Genomic DNA, 22,850 nt, shown 5'->3' with positions numbered 1-22,850 from the left:
TTTTTTTAAATGATATTTTACTTATTTTGAGAAATCTCAGGCCGAACACGGTGGCTCACGCCTGTAATCCCAGCACTTTGGGAGGTCGAGGAGGGCGGATCACTTGAGGTCAGGAGTTTGAGACCAGCCTGGCCAACATGGTGAAACCCTGTCTCTACTAAAAATACAAAAAAAATTAGCCAGGCGTGGTGGTGTGTGTCTATAGTCCCAGCTACTCAGGAGGCTGAGACAGGAGAATCGCTTGAACCTGGGAGGTGGAGGTTGCAGTGAGCCGAGATCATGCCACTGGGCAACAGAGCGAGACTCCATCTCAAAACAAAACAAAACAAAACAAAACAAAACAAACAAAAAAAGAGAAATCTCAAATCACTTTCTGATTTCCCATCATAAAAACTCATAGCATAATTCTTTGGCTATTTTTCAGGTTCTTTCCAAGTAGATAAGCACTTCTGTTTTTTTCTTACCAGATTTGAGTCAGGGTGACTTGATTGTTTTCCAAAACTCGTTGCTCAAAATTGATGGTTTCTTCTTTTGTTACACATTATAGACTGCTTGTTGGATTCCTATTATTTAAAATTCTGAAATTGTATATACCCTTATTTATACTTCTTGTGCCTTCCTCTGATTTATCCACTTGTCAAACTCATCCCTCAAACATAGATCAAATTTCCTTGTGTAGGCAATGTATATGCCTGACTTATCTTACCATGGCAGTTAGTATAGGGATAAATGAATGCATGTATGAGAGAAAGGATTTATATCTATCTAGCCCAGGGATGGCAGATAGATTTGTGTTAATTATGAGTGCATCTGATTGCATGTGTTAAACAAATTCACTGAGTGATGGGTTAAACAAATAGGGGTTTACTTTTCTCACATATCAAGAAGTTTGGAAACAGGAAGCTGCAGCACTTGGTCATGGACTCTAAAGTCAAAAAGAACTCAGTCTCGAGATCACAAAATGCATACAAGACAAGAAAAAGTAAAGAAGGAGAGTAGCACCAACTATTCAGTGGCCTTCTGGTGATGTCTCACTAACTACACCTAGCTGAAAGGGAAGCTGGGAAACTGAGTTTCTCACCTGGGCATGGGTATGCTACTGTCTGCTATAGTTTGGTTTGTTTGACCCCTCCAAATCTCATGTTTAAATGTGATCCCTAATGTTGGAGGTGGGGCCTAATGGGAGATGTTTTGGTCATGGAGGTGGACTCGCCATTAATGGCTTGGTGCTATCTCTGTGGTGAGTTCTGGCTCTATTAGTTCCTCTGAGAGCTGGTTAAAGAGCTGACATCCCTCCCCACTTTACTTCCTCTCTCTTCATGTGATCTCTGCACAGTCAGCTCCCCTTCACTTTTTACCATGAGTGGAAGCAACCTGAGACCCCCACCAGAAGCCAAGCAAATGGTAGCACCACGTTTCTTGTACAGTCTACAGAACCATGAGCCAAATAAACCTCTTTTCTTTATAAATTACCCAGCCTCAACTATTCCTTTATAGCAGCACAAGTAGATGAAGACACTGCCTGAGGAATATCTTGGTTCTGTTGGCAAGGAAGGATAGGGGGATGGATATTAGTTGGGCAACCAATGGCATCCATCACATATTTCATCTCATGTTCCAAGGTTAATAGATTTGTGGTGGAGCATTGTGTTAAGTATCATGAAGACCTGACCAAGTCCAGCAGGCGAAGGTAGTTTGATTGATCATTAATATCTGCTGTGGGTGTGGAGTGGGGTATGACGGCAAGCTTAGTGTGCATTTGGCATCTTTTGTCCATCCCTTGTCCCTTCAAGCCAGGCTTTCTGCATCTTCCCTTGTTAGTTTTTCTAAACCCTGTTCACACCTTTATAAAAATCCTTTTTAATAAACCACTCCCAGTTTACCCATTGTAAGTGTTCAATTTCTTTCCTGCAAGGATCCAGATTAAGGCAGTCTGTAGTGCTTTGGGGGCTTGTTATGGATGAAGGTTTCAGAATTACTGGTGAACATTTTGGTCTCCCTCTGATTTTAAGTTTCTCAAAGTCAAGATCAGGATGCCTCCTACACTCTACAGGATACTCAACTTGCAGCATGTCATGGGATGTGCTCATGAAGTGTTTTTTATTCATTTTTATCGATCAACCCCCTTCCCCTGCCCAGGGCAATGATAATTTTTCTGCTGTGCTTTATACGTATGTCCAGCTGTGAGATGTTGGAGACAGGAGCTTTCAGCGATTAGAAGGAGGGAGCTGACATCTTTCCTGGTTCTCTCTGGGTTGCATTGTGACAGGTCAGTGAGAGCTATCCTTTCCAAGCACTGTTGGTTGGAAGTGGCTGTGCACCAGGTGGCCTAGAAGGACAAGTGTGTCATCAGCTGGTGGACCATGCTCTTTCTGCCCTGTTCTTCCTCTGCCTCCCTGTTCCCAGGCCCTAGGGTCTACCCTCTGCAGACAGGCCAGTGATGTATTATTAGACTTGCCACCCATCCCTTAGTGTGCTGGAGGAGGTTGGGGAGGAGCCATTTAGTGTCTTCAGAGCTGGGTTTCTTCAACTTTACTGAACATACGAATCATCTGGGGATCCTGTCAAATTACAGAATCTGATTCAACAGGTCTGGCATAGGGGCCAAAGATACTGCATTTCTAACAAGCTCCCGGTGATACCTATGCTGCTGATTCAGGAGCACATTTGAATGGCAAGGACTAAGAACCGCACCATCCAATACTGAAGCCACTAGCCAACATGGCTATTTACAATTGCTGTCTTTCCTTTCATTTTTATCTCATAATTTCATTAACCCACCAGAACTCTTTGAGTTTCTGGTGACAGAAACCCAACTCAAAAGATTTGAAGCTTAAGCTAAAAAGGAAAATATGTTGGTTTTTATGAAACTGGAAAGACAAGGAGTTGGCCTTAGGAATGGCAGGCTCCAGGGATTCACATGATTATCAACATTGTCATCACCACTGCCGTCATCACCGCCACCATCATCATCCCTTGCTCCATCCTTTATTGCTCCCTTGCCTCTTGAGTTTGTGGCCCCATTCTCTCTACTTAAGGACTGGCTTCCTCTCCCTGGCAGGGGCTTTGGCCACTGGTGGTTCCAAGCTAACATGATTGCACTTACCATCTAAATGGGAAAGGAAGCTCTTCCTCCCAGTATCTGACTTGGTGCTGTTTGGGTCTTATGCGTGGTACTGTACCTGTCCCTGAATAGGGTACTAGAGTGCCGTGGGTCACTGCTGTAGATCGGAGAGTGGGTCACCATGATGGGAAGCCCCAAGAATGAGATGAGTGGAGGGAGATATGAGTACATCCTCAAGGAAGAGAAGGAGTTCAAGAGGTATAGGGCAGACAGAAGCAGCAGCAGATGGTCGCTCCACCCCACCACTCTCTTCCACCTCACCAAGAATCCTGCCCCTCTATTCCCCCTAAGAACCTCCTTCCTAGTTTCTGCCACTCTTTAATCATTTCCAGTGGAGGAAGATATCTTGACATATTTTGCTGGGTGTTTAAAAGAGCACACCCATCTTCCCATTGTATTTTCATCCCCATCAATTATCAAGGCTTTCTCTTTGGGTCCTTCAAGCATTTGATAGCATCTCATACCATCTTGCTCGAAAGATTTATTTAAATTGCCTTGGAGTGGCAAGCTTAAGCACAAGGGTGGTAAATGGCAGGAGGGGAAGGCAGCCACCTGTCAAGGGAGAGAGTGTTGGAAATGTTCATTAATGGGAGGGAGGACAAGACAGTATGTGGGTGATGAGGTCTGGGGAAGGTTCAGGTGCTGGGGGCACAGGCAGGGAAGGCAGTGCAGGCAGGAACTGGGAGATGAGTTAGCCACAGCAACTTTAACTTTTTTTAAAGAAAAGTGCAGGTTGGAATTTTGGAATGTTTGTGGGTTAGGGAAGAGTTTGGGGGTAGAGGGTGCTAAAGACAGCGTTGGCTACATATGGCAAAGTCTCCAATGCCAGAAGCACATGTCTGGAATATCATTTCCTAGACCTGGATCCGACTTCCTCCTGGCTGCCCTTCTCACACAAACTTCCTATCCAGGGATGGAAAGGCACAGGTATCACACTGCTTGGGTTGATGTCACTCCCTGCATAGAGCGGTGGGAGGGGAATGGACATTTGTAGAGCTCTTATTGTGTGTTGAGTATTTTGCTCCCATGCACTCAGTTAAACCTCACACCAAACCTATTACGTGAGTATAATCATCTCCAGGTCTCAGATGAGGAACCAGGGCTCCAACAAAAGCTAAGTAACTCCCACAAGATCACCTAACTGGTCAGCAGTAGAGCTGTGATTCAAACTCAGGCTGTTTGACTGCAGAGCTGGCAGTCTTCATCCATCCATCCATCATCCGTCTATTCATAATCTATCCATCATCTACCCATCTATTATCCATCCATTCACCCATCCATCCATTAACAAATATTTATGGAGCATCTACTTTGTGCCAGATGCAGTGCTAGGCACAGGGGATACAGTGAGGAAACAAGATAGATACAGTCCTTACTCTCATGGAGCTTGCAATATAGTGGGATGAAGAAGGCAAAAAACAAACAGATACATGACGATATGTTGTGAAAAGCAAGACGGAAGATAATGAAGCATGGTTAGAGAAAAGCATGAAGGGTAGGCAGGGTCAGGGCTAGAGTGAGGCACATGAGGCACCTAGGATGAGAAATCTTGGCAGGCACCCACTTTCAGGCTTCTGCAAGTGCAGGGTTTGTCACCTGCATGACCTTTCTGCCTTAAACTTTGCACCCTTAGGTGCGTTCCTTGACTCACCCTAGTCCTACCTCTGCAGACAGGGGGTCACGGAGGGCAGGTGACACTTGAGCAGAGATCATAACAGAGAGATCAGGTGCTCTTAGAATGGACCAGGTGGAGTGTGGCATCTGGAGTGTGAGCTTTGAGAGGGACTGAGAAGAGTTCATTAGGGAGAAGACATCCTTGCATCCTGCCTATGCCACAGACTGGAGGAGTGCAGGGGACTGAGAAAGAATGAGGAAGTGGTGAGGGAGGTCTGAGGATAGACGTTGATGGAAGGTATCTCCAAGGCAACTGGAGCTCACAGTCAATGGCTGCTGCAGGATTGCAAGGCTTCTAGTCAAGGACAAGAACTCTCCAACAACACAAATGTGCTAGATGCTGATATTCATAAAAAGGGGGAGGGAGTCTGTCCAATCCCTATAATTTTAATTTGGGTCAATCCATCCATGCATTATGCACCCAGGAATAACAATGGCAACCCTGAGAATTTAATAGATACGAGGAACTATTCTAAATGCTTTCCCTATACTGACTCATGGTACCTGCCACGATATGAATAGACACAATCATTATCTCATTTTACAGGTGAGTGAACTGAGACACAGAGCGAATAAGTGACTTGCCCAAGGTCATACAGCTAGTAAGTGGCAGAGCTGAGATTTGACCTCAGGCAGCGTGACTCGAGCCTGTGCACTTAGTTGCCTTACCTTCTGCTTCTTGATGTCACTGGAACTCAAGAGGAATAAAGACATACCTGGGCCCACTTCGCTCATGGCAGAAGGCTGAAACTCACCTGTTGTCATCCTTTTGACTCAATGTGGACTTGGGGCCCTTTGCTCAAGACCTCTTTCTTTGTCTCCCATTTCTCATCTAGTGGGTCTGACACTCCAAATAAGCCCTCTTTAGATGTGATCTTGCACTCACCTGCCAGTCCTTCCATTCTATCTACTCCAGGACCCTCTCCTCTGTGATTCAGCCCCTGCAGCCCCTGAGAGCACCAGTCAGGGAGACTGAGGCTTCAAGACTATATTGATCATGATTTTTGGTTTTAAGTTCCAAAAACCCTAGTAAACCAGCTGAAAACATAAATAGTTCATTCTGGGCTCATGTAACTGGGGAGGGTGGAGGTAAACTTGACCTGAGATTGCTCTATCCTTGATATCCACTCTCCCCTTCTTCCTTTCAGATACAGAGCCCCTTCTCTGTTGGTTCTTGGCCACCTATCCAGAGCCTACATCCCCAACTTTCTTTCCATTGAGGTGTCACCATGTCTAGGTTTTGGCCAATAGGATAGGAACTGAAGTGACCAGTTTCTGTTTCATGACCTTAAAACTGAAGTTCTTGCTCTCCTGTTTCTCAAGGGCTGGAATGTAGAAGTGGACTTTTGGCCACGTGGATGAGGAATTGAAGCAGTCAGTTCTGATCTAGAGATGGAAGGCGCCTGCTGAGGACAGCAGGGCTGCTTGGCACCCTGGGTCCCTGAATGGCTCTGTGGAGCACTGCCTGATGGCCCACCCTGGACTGTTGCCTGAGACAGAAATAAACTTTTATCTTGTTTCAAACACTGCATTTTGGTGTTTCCTTGTTCAAGCAACTTATCTACTATGCCATATTCCAACAACTGTAATACTAGCAAATATTTGCTTTTCTCACTGAGTTTTTATGTTTTGTAGAGAGACATCCTCCCCATGGCAGAGAAAATAGCTGCAGTCAGCCCCAGGCCCACATCTTTCTTTTTTTTTGAGATGGAGTCTCACTCTGTTGCCCAGGTTGGAGTGCAGTGGCGCGATCTTGGCTCACTGCAAGCTCCACCTCCCGTGTTCACACCATTCTCCTGCCTCAGCCTCCTGAGTAGCTGGGACTAAGGTGCCCGCCACCCCGCCCAGCTAATTTTGTATTTGTGTTTTTTAGTAGAGACGGGGTTTCACCATGTTAGCCAGGATGGTCTTGATCTCCTGACCTTGTGATCCACCCGTCTCAGCCTCCCAAAGTGTTGGGATTACAGGCATGAGCCACTGCACCTGGCCTGGCCCACATCTTCTTAATTTAGCTACCTAAGCAGAAAGAATGAGCTTTTTTTCTCTTTACAGCCATCTCTCAAGAAGAGGCTTGGTTGGCCCTGCTTGACCCACATGCCATCACTAGGGCCAGGGGACGGGAACTATGATTGGCTAGGCTTGGATCATGTTGCTTGAGCAGGTCTGTCAATAGTCACAGCACAGCCTCATGGAATGGGGAGGGCAGTTCCCATAGAAAAGAGGCTGCTTTTACCAGAAGCAGCAGGTAAGGGACACATAATAGGCAAAATTAGTAGGCTCCCATGACAACCGCTTAGTATCTGCATGTTCTTGGGCTTGTTACAAAACCTAAGCCTCAGTTTCCTCATTTGCAAAATGGGGGCACCTATCTCACAGGGTTGTAAAGATAAAATAAGAAAATGTATGTAAGGCACTCAGCGCAAAGCCCAACCCATAATAAGTGCTCAATAAAAAAGATAGCTATGATTTTTACTTTTATTTATTTATTTTTGAGATGGAGTCTTGCTCTGTTGCCCAGGCTGAAGTGCAGTGGAGTGATCTTGGGTCACTGCAACCTCCACCTCCTGGGTTCAAGTGATTCTTGTGCCTCAGCCCCAGTAGCTGGGATTATAGGCACATACCACCACACCCAACTAATTTTTGTATTTTTAGTAGAGACAGGGTTTCACCATGTTGGTTAGCCTGGTCTCGAACTCCTGGCCTCAAGTGATCCGCCCGCCTCGGCCTCCCAAATTGCTGGGATTACAGGTGTGAGCCACTGTACCTGGCCTATTTTTATTTTTGAATCGCTGTCTACATTCAACTTTGCTGAGTGGTAAAGAGAATTAGCGGAATTTTGGAGAGGTGTAAAGTTATGGAAAATCTATGGCCCCTGCTCTCAGCTTGGGGGAATCGACAAGCTGACCAAATGAATCCGAGAGCTGTGTGGTGAGGGCTATGTGCAGAGAGGGTGTCATGGGAGCCCACAGGATGGGGGACTGAGGGAATCCCCCAGAGAAGGCCAGGCCCTTTTGAATCTTGAATTTTTCAGTGTTTCCTGTATTTTGGGAAGTGGGTCTTTCCCGTTATCTGTAGAATAAACACATGCTAAGTTTAGATAAACTGGCCAAAAGTCTGTAAGTTCCCGTAAAAATGAACCATCTAGACCAGAGGTTCCCAAGGTGAGGAACTTGTTAGCAATGCACATTCTCGGTTCCCACCCCAGACATGCCGATCAGACAGTCTAACCAACCTTCCAGGTGATGCTGGTGCCCACTCATGTTTGAGAACCACTGGTCTAGACGAGTGTCAGGTGTGAAGAGTGAGGGACTCTTTAAACCTCACCAGGGCAGAGATACTTAAAAGCCACCTTCTCAGAGAAATGGCAGTGCCCCAGCTACCACTCGCCAGCAGCCCAGGGAGGGGGAGCGACTTAGCTCAGGTCATCCAAGGGCGAGCCTGTGCACAGAGGGGCTTCTCATTCCCACTCTGAAGCTCTTCTCTTGACTATTTTATGAATCTATTTGTGAGACCCGGGAGAAGGAAGGGCCTATACCTTCCTTCTCTGTGTCGATGAGATCTGCTGAAGATTCCTACAACACTTACATCCAGTTTTTTTTCGGTGGGGGGAGGGAGGGGACAAAGTTTCACTCTCGCTGCCCAGGCTGGAGTGCAGTGGCGCCATCTTGGCTCACCGCAACCTCCGCCTCCTAGGTTCAAGCGATTCTCCAGCCTCCTGAGTAGCTGGGACTACAGGTGCACACCACCACACTCAGCTAATCTTTGTATTTTTAGTAGAAATGGGGTTTCACTATGTTGGCCAGGCTGGTCTTGAACTCCTGACCTCAGGTGATCCACCCGCCTTGGCCTCCCAAAGTGCTGGGATTACAGCGTGAGCCACTGCGCTGGGCCTACGTCCCATTTTTAAAGTCCAGTTTGCGATGTCAGATCCCTCCAGGATGGAAAATGAATTTGAAACGGGAGGTATCCAAGTCAGAACCCTTACACCAAGCCCTCGGGAGCCAGACGACAATAAAGAAGGCGAAGTAGAGGAAAAGGTTATAAAAATGTTTAGTCTTTGCTTTATTGAGTTACAACAAATGAGCAACAAGTTAGAAAAATTGGTTTTATTCAAACTTCCTAGCGTTTGACTTGTGCGGTGTACTCAAATGGGGGGCAGTGTGGGACGGGGAGGGATTGCAACCAGAGTTCATACTGCAACACGTACACCAGATATGTCTCTTGGTTTTCCTTCTTTTAAAAGTTAGGACTAACTGAAAAAGTGCACTCAGGTATCTAAAATTGTCCCAAAACAAACACACACACAAACAAAAAAAATCAATTCATGGTGAGGCTTTGAGCTAAAATCTTGTCAAATACCACACCGAGAAAAGGCAGTGAAGAAGAGAAATGAAAACCAAAGCCATTCACCTCTGTACCCTCCAGATAGGAAGATCTTATTGTTGTTGTTTTAATGTCACAATAGTACTGATCATGCTAACAGAGGCGGGAGCCTCTTCTGCTGGTATTTAGAAAGGTGCTTAAAGAAGTCAGCCACCTGCTACCCAGTTCTCCCAGGGCTGGCTGGGCACAGCCTGGCCCAAGAGGCCGAGCAGTTGAGAAGCCAGATCCCCTCTTGGCAGTTCAGAAAGCCTTGTGTGGGGCTAAGGCAGGGACCCCCAAAAAGGCAGCCAGGGGAAGAACTGGAAAGGAATTTGATTTGGAAGATCTGCCGTCTGTCACCTCTCTCCAAGTTGAGACAGGGGCCTGGATTTCAGCCCTTCCTGCCGAGAAATCTCCCAAATTTCAACCTACCTTTAAAAATAAAGTCTCCCTACTTAAAATCCAGTAGATATCATGGCACTAATGCTAACACCCCTTTCCCCAAATTAATAAAACAAAAATAAAAAAAAGAAAAAGAGAAAAGAGAAAAGCAAGGTGGTTAGCCCTCCCTCCTGAAAAAAACCTTACAATGGTAGTGCTGGAAAAGGAAGTTGCCCTTGATTAAAAAGGTAACAAAATTCCCACATTGTACAAATCGGTTCCAGTATAGCAAGAGGTGAGGGCTAGGGCAGAGGAGCAAACTATGTACAAGGACCCATTGAAAACGCAGTAGTAGGACTTTGGCACTATGAACAATTCCCACCGGTCCTCTGGGAGGTGCGTCTGAGAGTCGCTGGACTTCCCGCACCCTCCAGGCACACGCGAGCTAAGTAGTTCCACTTGGAGTCACTGGCAAGGGTGGCCCATGGCTGGGGAGAGACCATCTCTTCTTTCTTCAAAGACGGAGCGTCCCGTTGATCAGCACAGCAGTTCTAACAGACTTCCCTAGAAGACACAAAACCACAGAGTCAAGATGTCAGGCAAATGACCATTGTTCCCTGGGGGGAAGGCATCATGGTTTGCTTCTTCCTGGCTCTCCTGGGTTGGGGTGGGGGCCTTCCAAAGTCATCCTGGGGCTTGGAAGAGAGACACATGCCCTTCATGTACGGGGCCTGTTGTAAAGAAACGAGTGTGTTTTCTGAGCACAGTCCGCCATAATAGGAAAAGCCTCCAGAATCAGGCCTTTGAAAACAGAGTGACTTTCTGGGCAAGTGAAGGTGGTGGCCTGTGATTCTTTTCATCCTTACAAGACCCTTTTATTATTCCTAGAAAGTCAACCAGTCCCAGTGGCTCCTAAAAGGCCCTGGAGTCAGACAAATCTGGATTTGGGTCCTAACTTCTCCCCTTAGTGGCTGCAGGGCTGTACCTATAGGACTTGATCACTCTAGGGCTTAGTTTTTGCTTCTGTATAACAGGGATGACACTAGCACCCACCTTAGAAAGTTGCTGCGATGATGCCATGCGTTGATGTACACAACAGTATTTGGACTAGTGCCTGGCACATGGTAAGTATTGTAGATACTTCTGCTGTTTTTATTAGATGGAGCCTTTTCCAAACGTGGTAGGATATAGAAGAGTGATAAGATGAGGCATTGTAAATGTGTTTTTATTTAATGTTTATATGAATTCTAAGAGGTGTAAATATTATTATTATTCTTATTTTACAGTTGAGGAAACTGAACATATAGGGGCCTAATAAGTTTCCCAAGATCACACAGCTAGTAAGTGGCAGAGCCAAGATTCAAACCCAGGTAATCTCTAGAGTCCGTGCACTTAATAAACAGAATTATTAAGAATCAGTAGGAAGAAATGTTTAATTCTTATACCCTTGGAAGTAATGAAAATAGTCCAAGGACCTTATTATAGGTGGAATGGTGTCCCCCCAAAAGTATATATTGAAGTCCTGATTCTCAGTACTTCAGAATGTTACCCTATTAGAAATGCCTTTAGAGAGGTAACACAGTTAAATCAAGTGAGAATGAGGCCATCAGGGTGGACTCTAATCCAACATGACTAGTGTCCTTACAGAAGGGGGAAATTTGGACACAGAGACAGATGTGCATAGAGGGAAGATGTGAAGACTCACACACAGGGAAGAGACCATGCGATGATTGAGGCAGATATTGGGCTGATGCATCCACAAGCTAAGGAATGCAAAAGACTGTCGGCAGACACCAGAAGCTGGGAGATGGGCACAGAACAGACTCCTGCACAGCCTTCAGAAGGAAGCAACCATCACAGACTCCCTGATTTTTGTCTTCTGGCCTGCAGAACTGTGAAACAATAAACTTCTATTGTTTTGAGCCATCCAGTTTGCAATACTTTGTGGTAGGTAGAGGAAATGGGGGCAGGTCTCCATCATTACTTTTGTCTCCTCCCAAGATCTAGAGATCCTGGGAAAGGGATCCAAGCAAGGCTCAGGTCTCTAGAGGACACAGCCAGTATTCCATGACAGGCTAGAAGTTTTTCAGATCTGTAGGTTCTCGGAGCCACTGGCCTTTTCTTTGCCTCCCTCCTGGTAAGGCTGTTTGGCTGAGAAAGCCCTGAGAAGGAATTTTTTTTTTTTTTTTTTTTTGTACAGGGGCCAACAGCAAGGAGAGTGGACTTCTCAGCCAGAGGCATCAGCTGATCATCGATAATGCCATTCATGCCTAACATCTGGATGTTAAACGCACCCACATTCCCTAGATGCTCCTGGGAGTAAGATTGAATATTGGAGTTAAGAAACCAATTTATAAAAGAAAAGTCTGCAGATAAAACCAGATTCCAGGGGTGACCTTAGAATCTGGACTACCTAAAAGTCATCCAGCCAGAGTCACCAAGTTGTAAACACTGCAGGGATCCTTATAGGTGATGTTGTCAAGATCACTCATTTCACCAGGAAAAAAAAAAAAAAAAGGAAGCTCAGGAGGAAAAGTGCTTTCTCTTAGGCCAGGACCTGCTCAGTGGCATGGTCAAAAACAAGAATGATCATGACTCTCCCTCCAACAGTGAGAGTAGCTAGTTTCTCACACCAGGCCCCATGCTAAGTGGTAATACGGCTCATCTCATCTACTCCTTACAGTGACTGGCAGGTGATTGGCAGACCCACTTCATAGCGAAGAAATGGAGGCTTAGAGAGATTAAATGTTGTGCTTAACATTAGGTAACCAGTGAGTGGTGAAGCCCGACTCCACCTTGGCCAGTCCAACTTCAGAGCCTCCTGATTCTTAATTGCTCCTCCCTGTACCTATTTTGGGTCCAGGTCATGCACAGCCTCTCCATGCACAGAGCTAGGTAGCAATTGAAGAGAGCATGGTGGCTTCAAAGGTAGGGGGCTGGGGCACCCAGTGAGGACCACGAGCCTTATTGCTGATCCCAGGCAGAGCCACATGCACTCCCTGGGTTGGCACAGTAGCCCACGGCCAGCCTCTGCCGGTGCTTTCCAAGAAACAGGGTTTTCCCCAGCAAATGGGGACTTCCACCACCTTTGGGAGGGAGGCTGCCACTGATTGGATGTCCCCCTGAACACTTCCAGATCCTAGGAGACAAGGCCCAAGGCGGGAAGACAGCTACCGATGTTCTTTCTCCCAACCCGGCTAAAGAACGTTGGGTCAGCACAGGACTGCAGGATGGGGTGGAAAGAGCTGTGGAGTTGGAGAAAGCTGGGATCCAGGATCTGCCACTTCCTGGCTACGTGCTGAGGTTGGTTACTTAACCTCCCAGAGTCTCACTTCCATTGCACAGAGCCCACGGGCTGCTGGCAGGGTTACAGACAGGGTGCAAAGCAAGCAGGCTGACCCCCCCATCCGCTCCCTGTGGAGTCTGGCCCATGCAGCATACTCAACAGGCATTTGTCAATGAATGGAAAATGGAAAGTGAGCATAGTGCTGTCAGAGGAGTGGCTGTGACCCAAGGGTGGTGACAAAGTCCACATTTCAGGATTGCTGTTCTATAGAGCATTGCAGTGCTTTGGGCTGTGTGGCTCTTGCTAACTCCCCTGGGCTTCTCTCAGAGTCCTATTACCTGGTCAGAGACAGTCACCCAGCAAAGGGCCAGTGCCTCATCCTAGAGTACCTCTCAGAGCCCTGGAGGATGCTGCAAGGCCATCGGACAGGCATTTCCTTATGGCCTCTGGGACATTTCTACCACGTGATGTCCAGGCTCTCGGTGAACACGTCCCAGGACAGGAACCCACTGCCTCCCACCCTCCCTTTCTGTCTTGGGGAAAACCTGGAATGTTAAGAAGTACTAATTCTTTAGCAAAATCTGCTTCTCTGTTACTTTCCTCATTGGAGAAACAAAAACATTAGAATTGTTTTCCCATGTGACAGCTTTCTGTTTCTGTCTCTCTTTAATTTTCCCAGGAGAACTTTCTCTAGGGCCCTAGGGACTTGGGAGTGAGTAACACTGCACTCCAGGAGAAAGGAAAACAAACACTGAGAGAGTGATTGATTATCTCTCCATAACATTTTTTTTGAGAGGTGTAGCAAGGTTTATTGCTCATTTGCCGAGTGCCTGTTATCTGCTAAACATTTTGTTCCATTGTCATCTGGCTTCTATTTTTGATACGGACAAACCTGTCAGTTTAACTGTAGTTTCTCTGTAGGCAACGTCTTTTCTTTCTGGTTGCATTTTTTCCCTCTTTGCCCTAGCTTTATTGACGTATAACTCGTTTGCAGAAAGCCGCACATAATGGATGTAATTTAGTGAGTTTGGGCATATGCATACACTCATGTTACTGTCACTACAATCCAGTAACAAACATAAAGTTTGCTTGTGTCTATTTTTGGGGGGGGCAGTGGGGAGGTAAGGATATAACATGAGATCTGCCCTCTGAACACATTTTGAAGTAAATATCTTCCTATTAACTACAGGCACTATGTTGTACAACATACCTCCAGAAGTTACTCATCTGTATAACTGCAACTTTACACCCATTGTATGAAAATTCCCCACATCCCCCTGCCCCATCCCCTGGTCAACATCACTCCACTGTCTATTTCTGTACTGCTCCATAATATTTCTCTCTCTCTCTTTTTTTTTTGAGACAGAGTCTTGCTCTGTCACCCAGGCTGGAGTGCAGTGGCATGATCTTGGCTCACTGCAATCCCCACCTCCTGGGCTCAAGCAATTCTCATGCCTCAGCCTCCCGAATGGCTGGAACTACAGGTGTGTGCCACCACACCCGGCTCTAATTTTTGTATTTTTAGTACAGGTGGGATTTCACTATGTTCGCCAGGCTGGTCTCGAACTCTTGGCCTCAAGTGATCCACCTGGCTTTGCCTCCCAAAATGCTGAGATTACATGCGTGAGCCACTGTGTCTGGTCTGCTTCATAATATTTCTTTTTCTTTTTTTTTTTTTCCAAGATGGAGTCTTGCTCTTGCTGCCCAGGCTGGAGTTCACTGGTGCAATCTCAGCTCACTGCAACCTCTGCCTCCCAGGTTCAAGTGATTCTCCTGCCTCAGCCTCCCAAGTAGCTGGGATTATAGGCGCTCACTACCATGCCTGGCTAATTTTTGTATTTTTAGTAGAGATGAGGTTTCACCATGTTGGCCAGGCTGGTCTTGAACTTGTGACCTCAGGTAACCCACCCGCCTTGGCCTCCCAAAGTGCTGCGATTACAGGCATGAGCCACCGTGCCTGGCCTGCCTCATAATATTTGAGTTCAAACTTTCATTTCTTTTATTGAGGGTAGGGGGCACAGTCTGATTTTTAACTAGAATTTAAAAAGGGGAAATGTGTTGGACTGGAGGAAGATTAAGCAACTTCCCAGTGGATGACAAAAACTCCGTGCCATCCCAAATTGTCTGTACACCAGGCTTGAGTCAGTTTTGGCCACATCCCGCCAAAGCTCTCCTTCCCTGCGTGGTTTGAAGGGCCTCTAGGGTTGGGGAACTTGCTGAGACCCACAGGCCAGGTATATATTCCTCAAGCTGCTTGCAGGGAGGCTCAGAGACAGTAGGAATGCCTTTCCTGCTCCTGGCCTATCAGTGCATATTGGCCAGGGGAATTTAATAGAACCAGAGCAAATGGAATTGTATTTTAAACTCACTGGGCAGATTCCCCAAAGTGCTTACATGTGTGGGTGTAGGGGTGGATTTGAATTCCAGCTCCACCACTTTTTACCTCAAAGACTTGCACGAGCTACCTTTCTGCACCGCCTTCTCATCAGCCCTAAATAAAGAAACTAACATGAAGCCCTGCCCAAGGAGAGTCTGAGCTCAGACTCGCCTAACCCTGCCCCCACCTGATGGTTTGTCTCTACCTGCCCTGGTAGCTGAAGAAAAAAGACATAATCTTTTGGAAGTTCTGTGGTCCTGTCCATTGCCTAAGAAACCCGAGTACTCATCCTGGCCAATGTAGGGCAGAATTATATCCCCTTCTACTACTGCAGCTGGCGCTTTCCTGAAAGCACCACCTCCCGGCTGGAGGCCAACCAACTCAAGCCATTACAGCAACTCATAACAGAACAACCTTGCTTCAAAGGAGCAAACAACAGCTAATGCCACTGCCTGCAACATCCTGGCTAACCAGAGGTCCTGAGTCTGTCCATGTGGCAATTTTACTGCTGGTGTAACCAGCATTTGAGAAAACCACTGCACTAAACAAAACTACAACCAAGGACTCCCAGAGTCCACTTCACTCCCATGCCACCTCCACTGGAGCAGGTGCTGGTATCCAAGACTGGGAGACCTGAAGATGGATCATATCACAGGACTCTTTACAGACATTCCCCAGCACCAGCCTGGAGCCCAGCAGCCCCACTGGGTGGCTAGACCCAGAAGGGCAATAATTACCACTGCAGTCTGGCTCTCAGGAAGCCCCATCCCTAGAGAAAGGGGGAGAGCAACACATCAAGGGATCACCCCATGGGACAAAAGAACCTGAACAGCAGCCCTTGAGTTCCAGATGTTTCCACTGAAACAGTCTACCTAAATGAGAAGGAAACAGAAAAGTAATTCTGGTAATATGATAAAACAAGGTTCTAAAACACTCCCATAAGATCACACTGGCTCTCTAGCAACGGACTCAAACCAAGATGAAATCTGAATTGCCAGAAAAAGAATTCAGAAGGTTCATTATTCAGCTACTCAAGGAGGCACCAGGAAAAGGTGAAAACCAATTTAAAGACATTGAAACAACAATACAGGATATGGATGAAGTCTCTAGAGAAACAGATATCATAAAGAAAAGACAGTCACAACTTCTGGAAATGAAAGACACATTTAGAGAAATGCAAAATACACTGGAAAGTTTTAACAACAGGATCAAACAAGTAGAAGAAATAGCTTTAGAGCTTGAAGACAAGGCTTTTGAATTAACCCAACTTGACAGAGACAAAAACTAATTAAAAAAAATGAACAAAGCCTCCAAGAAATTTGGGATTACGTGAAATGACCAAACATGAGAATAATGGTGCTTCTGAGGAAGAAGAGAAATCTTAAAGTCTAGAAAATTTATTTGAGGGAATAATCAAGGAAAACTTCCCTGGTCTTGCTAGAGATCTAGATATCCAAATACAAAAAGCTCAAAGAACACCCAGGAAATTGATCACAAAAAGATCATCACCTAGGCACATGGTCATCAGGTTATCTAAAGTCAAGATGAAGGAAAGAATCTTAAGACCTGTGAGGCAAAAGCATCAGGTAACCTATAAAGGAAAACCTATCAGATTCACAGCAGATTTCTCAGTAGAAACCCTGCAAGCCAGAAGTGACTGGGATCCCATCTTTAGCCTCCTTAAACAAAATAATTACCAGTCAAGAATTTTGTATCCAGTGAAACTAAGTTTGATAAATGAAGGAGATATAAAGTCTTTTTCAGACAAACAAATACTGAGAGAATTCACCACTACCAAAGCAGTGCTACAAGAAATGCTAAAAGGAGTCCTAAACCTTAAAACAAAACCCCAAAATACACTAAAATAGAACCTTCTTAAAGCATAAATCTCATTGGACCTATGAAACAGTAACACAGTGAAAAAAAAACCAAGGTATTCATGCAACAACTAGAATGTGAATAGAACAGTACCTCACATCTCAATGCTAACACTGAATGTAAATGGCCTAAAGGCTCCGTTTAAAATATACTGAATTGCAGAATGGATAAAAATCTACCAACCAAGTATCTGCTGTCTTCAAGAGACTCACCTAACACATAAGGATTCACATAAACTTAAGGTAAAGGAGTGGAAAAAGATATTCCATGCAAATGGAAACCAAAAGTGGGCAGGACTAGCTATTCTTATAGCAGACAAAACAGACTTTAAAGCAACAACAGTTAAAAAAGACAAAGAGGGACATTATATAATGATAAAAGAAGTAGTTCAATACAAAAATATTACAATCCTAAATGTATGTGCACATAGTACTAGAGCTCCCAAATTTATAAAACAATTACTACTAGACCTAAGAAATGAGATAGACAGCAACTCAATAATAGTGGGGACTTCAACACTACACTGACAGCACTAGACAGGTCATCAAGATGGAAAGCCAACAAAGAAACAACAGACGCAAACTACACCGTAGAACAAATGGGCTTAACAGATATTTTCCGAATGTTCTACTCAACAACTGCAGAATATACATTATTTTCATCAGCACATGGAACATTCTCCAAGACAGACCATATGATAGGCCACAAAACAAGTCTTAATAAATTTAAGAAAATTGAAATTATATCAAGTACTCTCTCAGACTACAGTGGAATAACATTGGAAATTAACTCCGAAAGGAACAGTCAAAATTATACAAATACGTGGAAGTTAAATGATACGCTCTTGAATGATCCTTGGGTCAACAATGAAATCAAGATGGAAATTAAAAAATTATTTGAACTGAACAATAATAGTGATGCAACTGATCAAAACCTCTGGGATACAGCAAAAGCAGTGCCAAGAGGAAAGTTCATAGCATTAAGTGTCTACAATCAAAAAGTCTAAGAGCACAAATAAACAGCCTAAACTCACACCTCAAGAAACTAGAGAAACAAGAACAAACCAAACCCAAACCCAGCAGAAGAAAAGAAATAACAAAGATTAGAGCAGAACCAAATGAAATTAAAAGAAAAAAACAACTCAAAAGATAAATGAAACAAAAAGCTGGTTCTTTGAAAAGATAAACAAAATTGATAGACCACTTGTGAGATTAACCAAAAAAAAAAAAAACAGAAGAGAGAAGATCCAAATAAACTCAATTAGAAACAAAATAGGAGATATTACAACCAATACCATAGAAATACAAAAGATATTCAAGGTTTCTATGAACACCTTTATGAGCATAAACTAGAAAACCTAGAGGAGATAAATAATCCTGGAAATATACAACCTTCCTAGATTAAACCCAGAAGAAACAGAAACTCTTAACAGACAAATAACAAGTAGCAAGACTGAAAGAGTAATAAAAAAATTGCCAACAAAAAAAAGTCCAGGACCAGGTGGATTCACAGCTGAATTCTATCAGACATTCAAAAAAAAGAATTGATACCAATCCTACTGAAACTATTGCAAAAGATAAAAAAGGAATCCTCCCTAAATCCTTCTACGAAGCCAGTATCACCTAATACCAAAATCAGGAAAGGATGTAACAAAAGAAAAATAAAACTACAGACCAATATCCCTGATGGACATAGATGCAAAAATCCTTAACAAAATACTAGCTAACTGAATTCAAAAGCATACCAAAGAGATAATCCACCATGATCAAGCGGGTTTTATACCAGGGATGCAGGGCTGGTTTAACATACACAAGTCAAATGTGATACACCACATTAAAAAAAAGTGAAAACAAAAATCATATGATCATCTCAATAGATGCAGAAAAAGCATTTGACAAAATCCAGCATCCCTATATGATTAAAACCCTCAGCAAAATTGGCATAGAAGGGACACACCTTGAGGTAATAAAAGCCATCTATGACAAACCCACAGCCAACATTACATTAAATGGGGAAAAGTTGAAAGTAGTTCCCCTGAAAACCGGAACAAGACAAAGATGTCCACTTTCCCCACTTTTATTCAACACAATACCAGAAGTCCTAGCCAGAGCAATCAGACAAGAGAAAGAAATAAAGGGCATACAAGTTAAGGAAGTCAGACTGTTGCTGTTTGCTGACTATGTTGATTATATACCTAGAAAACCCTAAAGACTCATCCAAAAAGCTCCTAGATCTGATAAATGAATTCAGTGTTTCAGAATACAAAATCAATGTACACAAATCAGTGGCACTACCATACACCAATAGCAACCAAGCTGAGAGTCAAATCAAGAACTCAACTATTTTTATAACAGGTGCAAAAAAACAAACAAACAAAGAAACAACAACAAAAAAAACCCAACTTAGGAATATACCTAACAAAAGAAGTGAAAGATCTCTACAAGGAAAATTATAAAACACAGCTGAAATAAACCATAGATGACACAAACAAATGGAAACACATCCCATGCTCATGGATGGGTAGAATTAATATTGTGAAAATGACCATACTACCAAAAGCAATCTATAAATTCAATGCAATTCCCACCAAAATACCATCATCATTCTTCATAGAACTAGAAAAAACAATCTTAAAAGTCATATGAAACCAAAAAAGAGCCCGTATAGCCAAAAGCAAGACTAAGCAAAAAGAACAAATCTGGGGGCATCACATTACCTTACTTCAAACTATATTACAAGGCTATAGTTACCAAAACAGCATAGTACTGGTATAAAAACAGGCACATAGACCAATGGAACAGGATAGAGAAAATATATATAAAGCCAGATACTTACAGCCAATTGATCTTTGACAAAGCAAACAAAAACATAAAGTGGGGAAAGGACACCCTATTCAATAAATGGTGCTGGGATAATTGGCTAGCCTCATGTAGAAGAATGAAACTGGGTCCACATCTCTCACCTTATACAAAAATCAACTCAAGATGAATAAAAGACTTAAATCTAAGACGTGAAGTCATAAAAATTCTCCAAGATAACATCAGAAAAACTCTTCTAGACATTGGCCTAGGCAAAGAGTTCATGACCAAGAACCCAAAAGCAAATGCAGCAAAAACAAAGATAAATAGATGGGACTTAATTAAACTAAAAAGCTTCTGCACAGAAAAAGAAATAATCAGCAGAGTAAACAGACAACCCACAGAGTGGGAGAAAATATTCACAAACTACGCATCTGACAAAGGACTAATATCCAGAATCTACAAGGAACTCAAACAAATCACCAAGAAAAAACAATCCCGCATAAAGTGGGCTAAAGACATGAATAGACAATTCTCAAAAGAAGATATATGAATGGCCAAAAAAAACATGAAAAAAATGCTCAACATCACTCATTATCAGGGAAATGCAAATCAAAATCATAATGCAATACTACCTAACTCCTGCAAGAATGGCCATAATTAAATAACCAAAAAATAATAGATGTTGGCATGGATGTGATAAAAAGGGAACACTTTTACAATGCTGGTGGAAATGTAAACTAGTACAACCACTATGAAAAACAGTATGGAGAGTCCTTAAAGAACTAAAAGTAGAACTACCATTTGATCCAGCAATCCCACTACTGGGTACCTACCCAGAGACAAAGAAGTCATTATATGAAGAAGACACTTGCACACGCATGTTTATAGCAGCAAAATTCACAGTTGCAAAAATATGTAACGAGCCTAGATGCCCATCAACCAACAAGTGGATAAAGAAAATGTGGTATGTATATACCATGGAATACTACTCAGCCATAAAAAGGAATGAAATAATGGCATTCACAGCAACCTGGATGGAGTTGGAGACCATTATTCTAAGTGAAGTAACTCAGGAATGGAAAACCAAACATCATATGTTCTCACTCACAAGTGGGAGCTAAGCTATGAGGAAGCAAAGGCATAAGAATGACATAATAGACTCTGGGGACTTCAGGGGAAGGATGAGAGGGGGGTCAGGGATAAAAGAGCACACATTGGGTGCAGTGTACACTGCTCGGGTGATAGGTGCACCGAAAGCTCAGAAATCACACCTAAAGAACTTATCCATGTAACCCAACACCACATGTTCCCCCAAAACTATTAAAATAGTTTGGAGTGTGACTGTGAGAATGAGATGAGTCAGCACATGCACAGTGCCTGAGCAGGCCTGGAACAGTGAGTGCTCAGCAGTGCTACCCTGTGTCACAGCCCCAGACACCCCCAGCCCAACCCCTCCTGAGATGCAATTAACACCCACTGGCATGAACATGTGGGGCCCCAACAGAAAAGGTCAACTTGGAAAGGCAAGAAGCAGGGGGCCAAGTTCTTCTCCATATAGAGAGCAGTAAGCAAGTTGAGATGCAGTATCTATTGGTACTAATGCTAGAACCCTGCTCTAGGGGTGATATTGTTAGGCTTTGTGTCCCCACCCAAATCTCATCTTGAATTGTAATCCCCATAATCCCCATGTGTCAAGGGAGAGACCAGGTGGAGGTAATTGAATCATGGGGGTGGTTTCCCCCAAGCTGTTCTCCTGATAGTGAGTGAGTTCTCATGAGATCTGATGGTTTTATAAGGGGCTCTTCCCTCTTTCCTCAGCACTTCTTCCTGCCACCTTGTGAAGAAGGTGCCTTGCTTCCCCTTCGCCTTCCGCCATGATCGTAAGTTTCCTGAGGCCTCCCCAGCCATGCTGAACTGTGAGTCAATTAAACCTCTTTCCTTTATAAATTACCTAGTCTTGGGCAGTTCTTTATAGCAGTATGAAAACAGCCTAATACAAGGGGCTTTCATTTATATTATCTCACTTAATCCTGACAAATACAGACAACTGTTTGTAAGCATTATGAACAGAATTATATCCCCCCTAAATTCATATGTTGAAGCCGTAATCTCTAAGGTGACTGTATTTGGAGATAGTGCCTTTAAGGAGGTAACTAAGGGTGGGGTAATTAAGTCCTAATCTCATAGGACTGGTGTCCTTACAAGAAAAAGAAGAGACACCAGCCATGTGAACACACAGAGCAAAGACTATGTGAGGACACAGTGAGAAGGTGGGTGTTGGCAAGCTACGAAGAGAGGCCTCACCAGAAACTAACCCTGCTGGTGTCCTGAGCTTGAACATCTAGTCTCCAGAACTGTGAGAAAATAAATTTCTGTTGTTTAAGTGACCCAGCCTGTGACATTCTGTTCTGGCAGCCTTAGCTGACTAATACAGTAAGTATTAAGGTTATAGAAAGAATAAAGTAAAATGTATAGGCATGTGGGTGCTCTAGAATTTTCCACCATCCAGCCTCCATTTTCCACTAGGGCAGATGGGTCTGAATGCCCAGGACATTTGCAAGTTGGTTTTCCTTTTGCTCCTTCCTTGAGTAGCTCAGAGGGCATCAAACTTTCTCTAGGGTTATGGACAATGAACCATGTCATCTCCTTTACTGGTGAGACAGAGGAATTTCAAGGGAAATTTTGATTATATGTGAGTCCACCTAACGCTCTGGCTTTTAACCTCTGCACTTCTGTGAAGTGTGAACCCAGGCAAGTCATGCCCACCATGGCCACCTTTCAGTTCCCCTTGAGTATGTTGTTTCTTCTGTCTGGAATATTCTTCCCCTCCTCTCTGCCCAGCATGCTCCTGCATGTTGGTCTAACCCTTTGGTTTTCAATCCATCCATTACTTCTTCTTCTTATTTACTTATTTATTATTATTTTTGAGATGGAGTCTTGCTCTGTGCCCCAAGTTGGAGTGCTGTT

General features: G+C 43.9%; 1 protein-coding gene across 25 annotated transcripts in view, besides 3 other annotated features; it reads right to left on the bottom strand.

Moving 5' to 3' along the window:
• ZHX2 (zinc fingers and homeoboxes 2) overlaps positions 8,837-22,850 on the bottom strand; it is a 194,132-nt gene continuing 180,118 nt past the window's right edge. For all 25 annotated transcript variants that reach the window (NR_182048.1, NM_001412806.1, NM_001412805.1 and 22 more), the window contains one exon: positions 8,837-10,105. Coding sequence is in view for 1 of the 25 variants with exons in the window: in NM_001412813.1 (NP_001399742.1) it covers positions 10,079-10,105 (27 nt within the window). In the remaining 24 variants the exon portion in view is untranslated. The remainder of the gene's footprint in view (positions 10,106-22,850) is intronic.
• Positions 12,174-12,223: a silencer, noted in NCBI's record as "silent region_19492". NCBI's record gives its function as "represses an Ori minimal core promoter by ATAC-STARR-seq in GM12878 lymphoblastoid cells {active_cell/tissue: GM12878}" and the evidence as "EXISTENCE:reporter gene assay evidence [ECO:0000049][PMID:35858748]".
• Positions 12,494-12,903: an enhancer, noted in NCBI's record as "active region_27864". NCBI's record gives its function as "activates an Ori minimal core promoter by ATAC-STARR-seq in GM12878 lymphoblastoid cells {active_cell/tissue: GM12878}" and the evidence as "EXISTENCE:reporter gene assay evidence [ECO:0000049][PMID:35858748]".
• Positions 13,144-13,243: a silencer, noted in NCBI's record as "silent region_19491". NCBI's record gives its function as "represses an Ori minimal core promoter by ATAC-STARR-seq in GM12878 lymphoblastoid cells {active_cell/tissue: GM12878}" and the evidence as "EXISTENCE:reporter gene assay evidence [ECO:0000049][PMID:35858748]".

The sequence above is a fragment of the Homo sapiens genome, chromosome 8, assembly GCF_000001405.40.
Source record: "Homo sapiens chromosome 8, GRCh38.p14 Primary Assembly".
Taxonomy (NCBI): domain Eukaryota; kingdom Metazoa; phylum Chordata; class Mammalia; order Primates; family Hominidae; genus Homo; species Homo sapiens.
This window is presented reverse-complemented; position numbering and strand designations above follow the sequence as displayed.